Source organism: Homo sapiens, chromosome 4 (genome assembly GCF_000001405.40).
Source record: "Homo sapiens chromosome 4, GRCh38.p14 Primary Assembly".
In the NCBI taxonomy this organism is placed as follows: Eukaryota; Metazoa; Chordata; class Mammalia; order Primates; family Hominidae; genus Homo; species Homo sapiens.
Genome location: NC_000004.12, coordinates 76,212,427 through 76,224,895, shown reverse-complemented (window position 1 = coordinate 76,224,895; position 12,469 = coordinate 76,212,427). Strand labels below are relative to the sequence as shown.

Genomic DNA, 12,469 nt, shown 5'->3' with positions numbered 1-12,469 from the left:
GAGGGATAAAAGACTACACATTGGATACCGTGTTTACTGCTTGGGTGATGTGTGCACCAAAATCTCAGAAATCTCCACTAAAGAACTTTTCCATGCAACCAAACACCACCTGTTCCCCAAAAACTTCTGAAATTAAAAATAAATAAATAAAATAAAATAACAAAAATTAGCTGGGCCTAGTGGCTTGCATCTGTAGTCCCAGTTACTTGGAAGACTGACCTGGGAGAATTGCTTGAGTCTGGGAGGCAGAGGTTGCAGTGAACCAAAATCATGCCACTGCACTCTGCCTGAGTGACAGAGTGAGATCCTGTCTCAATAAAATAAAAAGGATTTTTTAAAAAGTTATAATTGTTTATTCTTTCTCTGCCCTTTTAAGATGTATGAACATCTTCTTAAAAGCTTTAAAAAAGTCTCCTGCCACCTTTACAACACAGGAATGTTTTTCTTAAGGACTTGGGAGTGAACCCTTTGAAGTGTAATCATCAAGAAAGACAGCCCCTCCTCTCTCCATTTCTGTGGGAGGGCAGGAGCCTAACTCTAAGGTGCCTGGCTCTAAGTTGCAAAACTACCTCCTGTCATAAAGATATGAGAAGTTTTATTTTTCCTTCGGATAAAGGCAATTAACACAGATGGCCAGCCCAATTATCCCGTGAATTTCGGATGAACTATGTGTGACAATGGTGCTGTCAAGTCTTCTACCTGAAAACATGTATGTAATGGACTGTATCTGCCTAGATATAGGAAAGGGTAAGATTTCTTTCTGACTTTGCAATCTGCAATCTCTTCAGCAGATTGCCTGTGATGCACGTCACATTCTGGTTTAATACCTATTCAATAATAAATTGTCTTTCCCTTCTGTGTTTGTGGGGAGGTCTCCTGGTTTGGCAGGAGATTTTATTTTTAATTACATTCCCCCAACATCATCAGAACCTGGGAAGACAGCATGACTGTGTCACACATCGCTCAGGGATAGGGTAGCAGCCCAAAGATCAAGCCTGAATGTCCCAAGACATAGTGATCTTCAATAGTCCAGGGAGACTCACTCTGAGGGTGGAAAGCAGGCCAGGGACACTCTCCTTTTAGTGAGGTGGAGAGTGGAGAGTCCAAATACCAGTTTTGAGGTCCCCTGAAGAAGGGTTATGGAAAAGCACACTTGTGACTGGGCCTTGAGGGACTATGGACTAACCTGCTATGCTTCTCACACTTTACTCTACTCATGGGTCATAGGTTGTTCTTGTTCAAATGCAAATTTTGTTTAGTTGGCCCAGACCAGGGCCTGAGAGTCTCTATTTCTAACAAGCTCCTAGGTGGTTCCAATGCAACGTCTTGGGATCACACTTTGAGTAGCAAGGGATTAGAGGAAGAGGGCGGTGATAATAAAGACAACTGTGATAATATTGTGATGCACATCACATTCTGATTCTGATTCTGGATTATACAGGATTCTGCTGTCTTCTCACAGTACCCAGCCAAATTTTGATGAATTCTCAAAGTTAGACTTCTGGCTAAGTAGGACCCAATAAGGGGTGGGCTACTGTACCACTCCCCAGGATGCAGATTACCCAAAACTCACTGGAAATCTACCAAGAAGGAGACAATTCTGTCTCCCAAAGCCTTTCACAGGCCAAGCACTGTATGTGTTTGGAGGGAACACTTGGTTAAGCCACTTGCAGAAATGAGCTGAGGTTAAAATAAAGTACTTCCAAGGAAGGTAGTTTTCATTAACACCTGGAGGACTGTTTTACTGAATGGTGTACAAACATGCCCCCAGAGCTGGATTGACAAGAGGTTGACATCTGCTACCAGCCCCCACAAAGCCTTACCTTTGATATTGAACAAAAATATGGCTTTGAAGGGGTGTGCAATTATCATTAGTCTGATGCATCCACCTGTCAAGGTCTGATCCTGCCAGAGAATTCTTACACCTACATGGTCGATTCCCATGCACGAGGCTTCACCTGGGCCTCTTCCCCCCCTGCCTTTCTTCTGAGCTTCAGCTTGGAACTCTTGCCTGACCAAGACTTAAACTAGGCGCTCAGCTGGGGCTTACTAGTCCTCCATGGTAGAAATATCCATGACCAGGGTCTTCTTCCCCTACCCAGACCTTTGAAAAATTAATAGATGTGAAGTCCTTAGAACAGAGCTTGGCATATAGCAAGTAATATTTACCTTTTGCTCAGACATAGTAAATAGAGTTTGAGAGAACTTCAACAGTGACAAGCAAAGGATGGGTTTGTGCTGTTGACTCTGAAAGAATGTGAAGGACCAAAACCCTCCTCTGATGATTACCCGGAACTTGAGAGGCTCCTCTAGGACAGGGCTGGTGGAGGCAGCGGAGAGTTAAGGACTAAGGAGAAGATAGGAAAAAGGCCGGGCACGGTGGCTCATGCCTGTAATCCCAGCACTTTGGAAGGCCGAGGCAGGTGGATCACCTGAAGTCAGGAGTTTGAGACTGGCCTGGCCAACATGGTGAAACCCCGTCTGTACTAAAAAATACAAAAATTAGCTGGGCATGGTGGCTCACGCCTATAGTCCCAGCTACTGGGGAGGCCAAGGCACGAGGATTGCTTGAACCCAGAAGGCCAAGGTTGCAGTGAGCTGAGATCACACCACTGCACTCCAGCCTGGGCAACAGAGTGAGACTCGGTCTCAGAAAAAAAAAAAAAAAGAAGATAGGAAATATGATGCCCAGATGTTCATGAATTGGACACTGGAAGGATTGGAGACTGAATTTAAAAGTAGTATTTTGTACCACTGAATATTGAGATTTTTCTTCAGATAAAGGATTGGGCCTGCCCAGCCTCCCTGAAATTCTGTGTAGGCCTCATTCTTAAATGTGCAGTTTCTTTTTGTTGTTTCATATAGAGATATTAGTATACCAGGTGGATCCCTTCATGGTAGTCACCTATTGTTAAAGAGTTTGGGATGAATTCCACAACATCATGTGGCATAGATTAAGGAATACGCATTTTTTTCCTTTGATTTTTATTTTAGGTTCAGGTGGTACATGTGCAAGTTTGTTACACAGGTAAACTGGGTGTCGCTGAGGTTTGGTGTGCGAAGGATCCTGTCACCCAGGTAGTGAGCATGATACCCAATAGGTAGGTTTTCAACCTATACTCCTCACCCACGTCCTCCTTCAAGTAGTCTCCAGTGTCAATTGTTCCCATCTTTGTGTCCGTGTGTGTTTGATGCTTAGCTCTTTAGCTAATAAGTGATAACATGCGGTATTTTTTCTCTGTTTTTGCAGTAGTTCGCTTGAAATAATGGGGAATAGGCCGGGTGCGGTGGCTCATGCCTGTAATCCCAGCACTTTAGAAAGCCAAGGCGGATGGATCACCTGAGGTCAGGAGTTCAAGACCAGCCTGGCCAGTGTGATGAAATCCCGTCTCTGCTAAAAATACAAAAAATTAGGCAGATGTGGTACCAGGTGCCTGTAATCCCAGCTACTCGGGAGGCTGAGGCAGGAGAACCGCTTGAACCCAGGAGGCAGAGGTTGCAGTGAGCTGAGATTGCACCACTGCACTCCATCCTGAGCAACAAGAGCGAAACTTCATCTCCCCCATGCCAAACAAAAGAGGAGTAATGGGGAATAGGCTTTAGTGGGGAAAAGAAAAACTCCCCAGGCCAGGACCAGTGAGGCAGTGGTCGCCCAAGCTTACCATTAGTGAAGCAGGTGAAGGCTGCTGGGCTGTATGATTCGGTTCCAGAGGAGAAAGCCTGTCCCCTTCCCCTGCCACAATGGGTTTTTCTTCCTGTGGGCAGGTATGGGAAAGTGGCCTTGTTCATAAGGGAATATACAGATTGCATGGTGCCAGGCAGTCTGGACTTAGGGAGCTGACTCTTTACAGGAGTTGATTAGGAATCAGTGAGGGACCTTGGGGCCTGTGAGTTGTACAGTTTCCCATGGGGAAATAAAGAGGACCAGGAGGAAGCTGCCATCCCCAGGGGAAGCTGAGTGTGTGTACTGACTCCGCTGAGAGAATGAAGAAACCCCTGTGGTCCCAGCTGATCCCAGGTGAGCACCTGGAAGCATTCTTGTACAATCTTGCTTCTTATGTAACAGAAAATGTACCTATGACTGGTTATCCCTTTTATTTCTCCCTGGGTAAAAAACTGCCAGAACTTTCTAGAATTCTTTTCCCATCACTGATTTTTAAAAAGATCATATTCTAAGAGGGACCATTACTCACATCAGAAATGGCAGATGAGAAAGAAAAGAAAAGAAGTCTGCACTGTAGTAGCATGTATCAGGACTTCATTCTTTCTTTAAGAGACAGGATCTAGCTCTGTCACAGGCTGGAGTACAGTGGCACAATCAGCTCACTGCAGCCTTGAACTCCTGGACTCGAGGAATCCTCCTATCTCACCTCATAAGTAAGCTGGGACTATAGGTGCATGCCACCGTGCCCATCTAATTTTTAATTTTTCTATAGAGATAGGGTCTTGCTATGATGCCCAGGCTAGTCTTGAACTCCTGGTCCCAAGCAATCCTCCTGCCTCAGTCTCCCAAAATACTGGTATTACAGGTATGAGCCACCACACCCAGCCTATTTCTTTCCTTTTTATAGCTGAATAGTATTTTCCACTGTATGTCTATAACATATTTTGTGTATCTATTATTGTCTGATGACATTTGGGTCGGTTCCACCTTTTGACTATTGTGAACAATGCTGCTATGAACACTGGTTTACAAGTATTTGTTTGAGTACCTGTCTTCAATTTTGGGGGTTATATACCTAGGAAGAGAGTTGCTAGGTCATATGATAATTCTGTTTAACTTTTTAAAGAACTGTGATTTGCATCTCTATCTCCTCTGGTTTGATTCAAAATGGAGGAAACAGTTCTGCTTAAGATAGCTTGCAGTGCAATTGAAGCAAACACTACTCATTAATATTCTGAAACGTTTTTCATTGACACTAAAAAGAAACAGTATTTATTTATGAAAGAACTGGAAATGCTTACAACTGTTGTAAAGTTAACTGAATAGCAGTCTTCTCTGAGGTTTGATGAGTATAGGAGGCTTCTAGGTAATCATTTCAGACTCTCAGGATATGTGGTGAGTGCAGTGGTTAGAAGTCATGCGGGGACCAGGTTAGTGGTGAGGGGCGGGGCTTATTTTTACCCTTTCCATAGTCTAATATCTAAGCCCCCCATTCCCCATTCCACTACTGCACCCCTATCTCTGGCCAAATATCTTCTCCCCACCACTCCAGGCTGACAAAGTCTGCCTCTACCCTCAGACAGTCCCCTCTTCACTCTCCATCCCCCCTTTCTCCCCTCAGAAAGAGATGCTGAGTAAACCTGGCTTTCTCGTTTATACAGCTTCTCCCCATGGAACACATCATTAAAGAATAACTGTGACCTCTCGTGTTGTTTATTTAGCCCTGATTTCACAACATGCAGGAAATCAGACAGCCTTGATATTTCACAATATGCTGGCTTTGCCACAGTGAGTTTAAACCCAACCCAAGCTTCATTTGCTTCTAGAAAGTACCATCAAAGTACCTCAAGTGAGAACAGACTAGAATACATTTCACGTCAGAATATACATTAGATATATTGCAAAGTATATTTTTGGCCACCGGACTGGCAACTCCTTCCTGGCTCTCCATTCTAGTTCAACATCAGGTTCAGGCAGAGGCATTGTCTCCCACACACACTAATTCCAACCTGTGCCCCTCCTGGATGCCCAGGTCACCATGAGTATTCCAGTGCCATTGCTTATTTTTATTTTTATTTTTTGCAATTTTCACTGCTTTCCTTTTACTCTTAATAAGCATGAGGCCAGAAGTCCCAAGCAGTGGCTAAGGGGTTAAGAGCCTGGCTAAAGCATCTGACTGACTTGGATTTAGTAATACCTTTGCTTCCTACTGGCCAGTAACATTGGACTACTTAGTCAATCTCTGTGTGCCTCAGTTTCCTTATCCTTAAAATAGAATGTCTACATCATAGGGCATTGTAAGGAGTAAATGAAGTAATGCAAGCCCACTGTCTAGCATAGTGCTTGTACAAGTACTATGTACAAGTAGCAGATAATATTGCTGACATATTCACCCTTTTTGCCCACTATATTTTTCTCCTCTTTGATCTCCTGACTCCTCGCCCTCCAACCACACATTCTATTAGTTAGACAACACTACGCTTGTGTTTTCAGGAAAGGGAAGAGAAAAAGGTGAATAGGATATCTCCTCCTAGTTCCGTGTTTCAATAAGTCTGCATTATTAGGGGAACAAAAAGGAAAATAAGAATTTGAAGAGGGGAATTCTCATTTTCCCATAACCCCAAACAAAATAAAAACCAAACCAAACCAAAACAAACTGGAAAAGATTCCCCTAGTTGGGGGTGCAAAGATGATAATGAGGAAGCCATGAGGTCTTCTTGATCGGAGGAGGCGGTAGACAGGGACATGGGTAACTTCACAGAGAGTCCCTGTGGCCTGGCACAGGTGCATGTGATATAATATAAATGGTATATGAGCTCTCCTCTGGGATATGTAAGCCTATCTGCATAAAGCAGTTCTGTAATGTAAGAACTTTGGAATGATGGGTAGGGGAGGAGGGAGGAGAGAGTAATTTTTTCTTATGGAGGCTGTATTGCTCAGGATTTAGGATGCCCCACAAACATTTAGGAATAACATATGTCAAATCACTAGGGTGTGATGGTACATTTTATAGATCACCTTCAATAAGAAGAAAGCCAAGACTTTTAGAAGTATCTTGGAGCCTGACCTGTCCCAAAGTAGGCAAGGCCTAGGGCCATTTCCATTCAAACTCCTGGGATCAAGTGATTCTCCTGCCTTGGCTTCCCAAAATGCTGGGATTACAGGCATGAGCCACCTGGCCCGGCCTGTGGTGTATTTTAAATGTTTATATTTAACACATTAACACTTTGAACATAAAAGTATACAATGACTACATCATTAAACTCATTTGAGTATAGTATCAACATTCTAAATTTAAGGTAGAGCCCAAAGAGCCCTCTTGCTTCCCCTCGATAGCCCTTAGAGTCTGTGAAGAAAGCTCTTTTTCTAAGTCCCGAATGATTGCATAATTTCAACAGGCACCAGCAATCATTCATTAAGTGTACTTGTTCTTCTCAGATAAAGTCTTCTGATTTTAGGTATAGAGAGATCACCGTATCTCCTTGCCACAGCATCAGTCTCCTCATTTTCCGCCCTTGTCTGTTTGTGTTGCTATAACAATACCTGAGATTGGGTAGTGAAAAGAGGTTTATTTGGCTCATGGTTCTGCAGGCTGGACAAGACGCACGGCACAGACATCTGCATTGGATGAGGGCCTCAGGCTGCTTCCACTCCTGGGAAGGCAGAAAGGGAGCACACCTGTGTGAGGCACATGGGCAGAGAGGAAGCTAGAGAGAGAAGGAGGAGGTGCCAGCTCTTTTCAACAACCCGCTCTCTGACAACTCACTCATGCCTGAGGGAGGCATTAATCTATTCATGAACAATCTCTCCTCAGGACCCAAACACCTCCCATTAGGCCCCACCTCCAACACTGGGGATCAAATTTCAACATGAGATTTGGAGGGAACACAAATCCAAACCATAGCAGAGAAGTCACCAGGAAGAGTCCTGATTGTCTCCCTGCCCTGGCATCAGCCTCCTCATCTAAACTCTGGGAGCAGTAACCCCTTCCCAAGCTGTCTGCCCCTCCAGAGTGTGTTCAGGGTTATTAGTGGCTGGCAAGCAGGGGCTACTCCCTGGATGAGAGGGCAAAGTCTCTCATAGGGTGAGATGATCCTGTGGCAATAAACTAACAATGCCAATTAGCGGTGCAGACATGTCCTATAGATCAGAAATGAGGAGGAAGTCCCAAAGGGCATTGAGAAACTTAAATCTGGATTTTGGGGCTTTGTGTCAAAAGCTTCTGAACATAGCTGTGGGTAGAGAAGATGGAACTGAACAGAAAGACAGCCAGGCCAGCTGCTAAAAAGTTATGCCAGCCTCGGTGATAAGACAGAGATTACTGTGGGATCACAGACTGCTATTTTGGGAACATACATTATTTTCTTAAAAGCTGTTTATATTTTCTGTAATTAGGTCCTTTTTGTTCTGTCTTATGTTAACACATTTAAAAATGCTAGCCTGGTCAGCTGTGTTAAGAAGAACCAAGAAAGAGATTTTCATTCGGCTTGTCCAGAGTTTTAAAGGGGAAGTGGCTTACTAACCGCCTGACATAGTGGAAACAGAGTGAGATCCTCAGAGAGCAGGTAAACTGAGGGCAACTTGAGCTGTAAACCCTTGTTTAGAAACTCTCCCACACTAAGATACATTTATCAAATTTGTCTCCATCTCTCCATCCCCACAGTCTGTTACTGTCCTGGTGGCCCAGACAAGAGAGAAGAAGGGACCTCAATGAACAATGAAAAGGAAGAGTACCCTGGGATTGGTGGTCCAGGGATGGGAGGAGTGGGTACCTATGGAGTTTGCCCTCCAGAATGGAGCCCGCAAACAGAAAATCTGATTGTAGCAGTCAGAGAGTAGGGGGTGGAAGTTCAGTGTGAGCATGAACTTCTGAGTGCCAAAGTACCTAGGCAGGCAAGTTACCAAATTTTTTTTTCTAGTTAGGGAAGGAGAGGACATATAGATGACAGGAGGACTTCAACCAATGCCTAGGTAGGGGACATGTGAGGGTTAGTGGGCTAGCATTGCTCCTTAAGCAAACTGGGGCACAGAGCAGAGTTAATGTAGCTAACTGAAACTTAACAGCAGAGAAGAGGCAGGATTAGGGGAAGAGAAAGGCTGCCGATTGTGGACACCTGAGGACTGGAGACCACCCACCCATCAGGCTGGGGACAGTTGAATCATTCAGGACCCCACCAGGTTCTATTTGAACACAGGACTGGTCCTCTGGGGCTGCTGCTTGAAGAGCTTTGGTAGCTACAAAATGTCCCAGCCTCAGTTCTGCCCTTACCATCTGCTCCAGTTATCTACTGAGTAACCTACCACACCAACACTCAGTGGCTTAAACAACAACAATCCTTTATTTTGCATTTTGAGCAGGGCTCAGCAGGGACCACTCACCTCTGCTCTGTAATGTCTAGGGCCTGTGACTCAAAAGGCTAGGGACAGCTGGGGACTGGTGGGACATTTCTCTTCCTACAGACTCAGGGCTTCTCCCCACAGTCTTTCCCATGTTCTCTGCAGCAGTCTCCGGGTAGCTGAACTTAGGGGTGACTTGAGGCTCCAAGAGCAAGAATTTGCAAAGGCCCCAGCAGAAGTTGCAAGGCATTTATGATCTAGCTTCAGAAGTTCCAGGATATGGTCATTTCCACTGTATTCTATTGGTTTAACAAATTGCTAAAACCTGCCCAAATTCAAAGCGAGAAAGTATAGACCCCACCTCTCAACGAAAGGAGTAACAAATAATTTGCCACCATTTTTAAACCATCATGCTATCTCACCAAGTCCTCAACAAAGCCTCCTAACTGATTTGCTGTCCTCAGATTCTCATTAGTGACAGATCGGGATGCAGCAATGCGCAGAGTAGAAAAAGTGAGGGTTTTGGAAGCCAACAGCCAGCCCTACATCCTGGTTCAAGCAGGATCCACCACTCAGCAACCAGTTGAGCTTGTTAGGTTACTTAACTCAGAGCCCCAGTGTTCTTGAGTGTAAAATGAGGATAATACACTATAGTTGCCAAGAAAATGTACTTCTTGGATCTTGCAGTGTAGATAGCATAACTGACCAATGGCTCCGCCTCAACTGCTGAGCTCTGCTGAAATCCATACCCTGATATTTATCCCTAGGTTGCTGCAAAGGCCAGCTTCCTAAGGCTGCTCCCAGCTCATGACTGAGCACAGCAGGGATACTAAGGCGGGCCTCTTTCTGGGAGATGCCAGACTTCTGGGACAAGCCCATTTGGCTAAAGGATTCCCCACCCCAATGGCCTTGCTGAACTTTTTATACATGGACTGTATATATATCAAATGCTTCCTTCCACCCAACCTTCCTTCCTTGCTTGCCTCTTTCCTTCACAAGGATCACACCTGCATCCCAGGTCCAGCTCCCTGTTTTCCCTCAAAACTCTCTTGCATAGTACCCCCATCTGGGACTGTTTCTGGAGGACTGGGACAAACACAACCTCCTATTCATAGGACTGCCAAGGGTATTAAATGAGTAGAACTGTGCAAAGAAACTAGTAAAGGGCTGGCGTAGAAGAAACACTCATTTAACGAACACTTCTTGAGTCCTGGCTGTGTGCAGGTCTTGGTCCTGGGTGTCTGGGACACCACAGTGAGCAAAGCAGGCAAGAACACCAGCGATGCCTGCTTTAAGCTCCTTCCCAACTTCCACATCTTTAACAGGATACCAAGAGCCCTTCAAAGTCTGACCTCTTGGGGCCTCAACACCTCCGACTCCACCCCCTGAACACCTGAGCCTACAGTCAAAAGGAACTTCCTTCTTGCTTCCTACAGGTTTTGCTCTTTCACCCCCAATGCCTTTGCTCACCGTTTCCTTCTCCGTGAAATGCCTCCTCCTCCCTTTTTTGCACATCTTCCATTCTTGCACATGCCCCTTACGTGACAAACTTATGCATCCCCCAGGCCCCAGTTCAATGTGGGGCCCTAGGTCATCCAGGCAGAACATGCTTGCTGGCATGATCTCAGCAGGCACCTGGTAGAAGCACTTGCTACATTGTGTTGTAATTGCGGTAACGGTGTCCCCGCTAACTTGCGAGCGCCTCTAGAGCAGGGGAATGTCCCAGCCACCTTGAATCCCCAGCGCGTGGCCCATGGGAGGCCCTCAGACCTATCTGCGGAATGAGTAAATGAGTGTGTGAACCAGGTTCGGCAATTTCGGTGGGGCGAGCGCTGGGCCTGCGGTGCAGGGCGCTGGGAGCGGCCAGGCCGGGCCTGGCTCAGGCGCCGCAGCCACTCAGGGCCACCGGGGACCGGCCGGGGAGGGCGCGGGCCGAATCACTGCCGCCGCCGCAGGGCACATGACTGCGGCCTCCGCCCCCGCCCGCCTCCCCGCGCAGTCGCCGGCGGTTGCCTCGCGGGGTTGCGGCGAGCCCGGCCCGCGAACGTCACGTCCCTGCGCGCTCCCTGCACTCTCCCGAGCTGCGCTAGGCGGGCGCCACGGCTGCCCGGCGAAGGAAACCGAAACCGAGTCCGGGCCCGTCCCTCCGCGGCCCCATCCGCCCGGTGCACCCGGGGCCGCGCTCGCCAGGCCGCGGAGCCCAGAGCTGCGCGCACGAACCGTGCGCCGGGAGGGCGTGGGCGTGGCGCCGAAGGGTCCCGGGTCTTCGACGCCTCTGCGGCGGCTCCTCCCTCCTTGCAGTTGGATCCCTGGCGGGTGCGGCCCGGCCCGGCCCGTGAGCGGCGCACAGAATGGGCCGATGCTGCTTCTACACGGCGGGGACGTTGTCCCTGCTCCTGCTGGTGACCAGCGTCACGCTGCTGGTGGCCCGGGTCTTCCAGAAGGCTGTAGACCAGAGTATCGAGAAGGTGAGGCGGGGCGGGCTGTGTGTGTGTTGTGGAGTCGTCCAGCTCACCCTCCCATCCCTGCTGCTACATCTTGTATGGGAAAGACCAGCACTCAGGCAGACCCTCCGCGCTAGAGCTCTTCTTGCGTCCCTGTCTTCCAGGGCTTGGTAGGCGAGGGTTAAAGAAGGATGAGGAAGGATGGAGCCGACTCTGTTCCCTTTACAGTGATAAGTAAGGCTATGGATCCTGACTTTTAAAAAGGCCTTCGGTTGTGTTCTGTCGTTTGCATCTCTCCCCACTCCTTCCGTCTACACCCCAATCTCAGGTGGGCCCAAACTTGTTTCCTTCCCACTTCATGAAGAAACAGAACTGAATGAAAGACACCGCAGAAGAGGCAGGTTATGTTGTCTGCTTGCTGTAGCCTTTGAAGTGGTGTGCGCCTGGGGATGAGACGTGGGTGTGCGGTCTATTGTGTTCTTGCCCTCTTGGGCTGGGCAGGGGCAGTTGGTAGCTGGGCCAGTCCTTTAGGCTGGGTGACAATTCATCCATCAGTCTTTGCTGAACGCTGACTTAGTGGCTTTGTATCTTGTACCAACAGTCTGTGTTGCTTTGTCTCACCATGAATTCTTGTTTTTCTCAAACGGCCATAATTTTCAGGCACAGATGCATTTAGATACCCTACAAGAATCTGAACTTGTCTCTTCCTCTAGATGATTGGGCTGGAGAGCCAGTCCTTTAAGAAGACTTCATCTTTTGATTTCACTGGTCATTTCATCTGCCCTTTCCCCCACATCCACCAAGCTGTGTCAAAAGAGGAACAAAAGAGAATTACTGGGATCATTTTTTCCTTAAAAAAGAAAAATAATCACTGGAGCAGCAGCCTTTCTTGTTAGCATCCATAACTGCACGCTTCATTTCTCCCACTGGTCTGCACTTGCTGCGGCCAGATAAAAAAGCCCAGGCCTAGTCTACTTTGAATCACTGCACTCTCCAGTCAGTAAAGCTATTTTATTCCAGGTGG

At 47.1% G+C, this 12,469-nt stretch overlaps 2 protein-coding genes across 4 annotated transcripts in view, besides 3 other annotated features; one reads left to right on the top strand and one right to left on the bottom strand.

Annotated features, from left to right (window-relative positions):
• Positions 1-10,856, bottom strand: part of FAM47E (family with sequence similarity 47 member E) — a 69,744-nt gene extending 58,888 nt beyond the window's left edge. The window contains exons 1-2 of the mRNA NM_001242936.1: positions 10,472-10,856; positions 7,208-7,317 (exon numbers count right to left, since the gene is read on the bottom strand). Of these exons, the coding sequence (NP_001229865.1) occupies positions 7,208-7,288 (81 nt within the window). The 5' untranslated portion in view covers positions 7,289-7,317; positions 10,472-10,856. The remainder of the gene's footprint in view (positions 1-7,207; positions 7,318-10,471) is intronic.
• Positions 1-12,469, top strand: part of SCARB2 (scavenger receptor class B member 2) — a 75,796-nt gene that overhangs the window by 9,637 nt on the left and 53,690 nt on the right. For 2 of the 3 annotated variants that reach the window (NM_001204255.2, NM_005506.4), the window contains exon 1: positions 11,072-11,469. The exons of the other annotated variant lie outside the window; for it this stretch is intronic. In NM_001204255.2, the coding sequence (NP_001191184.1) occupies positions 11,353-11,469 (117 nt within the window). In that variant the 5' untranslated portion in view covers positions 11,072-11,352. Of the gene's footprint in view, positions 1-11,071; positions 11,470-12,469 lie in introns of those variants that run through there. 3 annotated transcript variants of the gene reach the window in all.
• Positions 10,734-11,353: a silencer, noted in NCBI's record as "silent region_15487". NCBI's record gives its function as "represses an Ori minimal core promoter by ATAC-STARR-seq in GM12878 lymphoblastoid cells {active_cell/tissue: GM12878}" and the evidence as "EXISTENCE:reporter gene assay evidence [ECO:0000049][PMID:35858748]".
• Positions 10,734-11,671: a biological region, named in NCBI's record as "ReSE screen-validated silencer GRCh37_chr4:77134378-77134782".
• Positions 11,267-11,671: a silencer, noted in NCBI's record as "fragment chr4:77134378-77134782 (GRCh37/hg19 assembly coordinates)". NCBI's record gives its function as "represses an EF-1alpha promoter that drives an FKBP-Casp9 reporter gene in an ReSE screen in K562 erythroleukemia cells {active_cell/tissue: K562}" and the evidence as "EXISTENCE:reporter gene assay evidence [ECO:0000049][PMID:32094911]".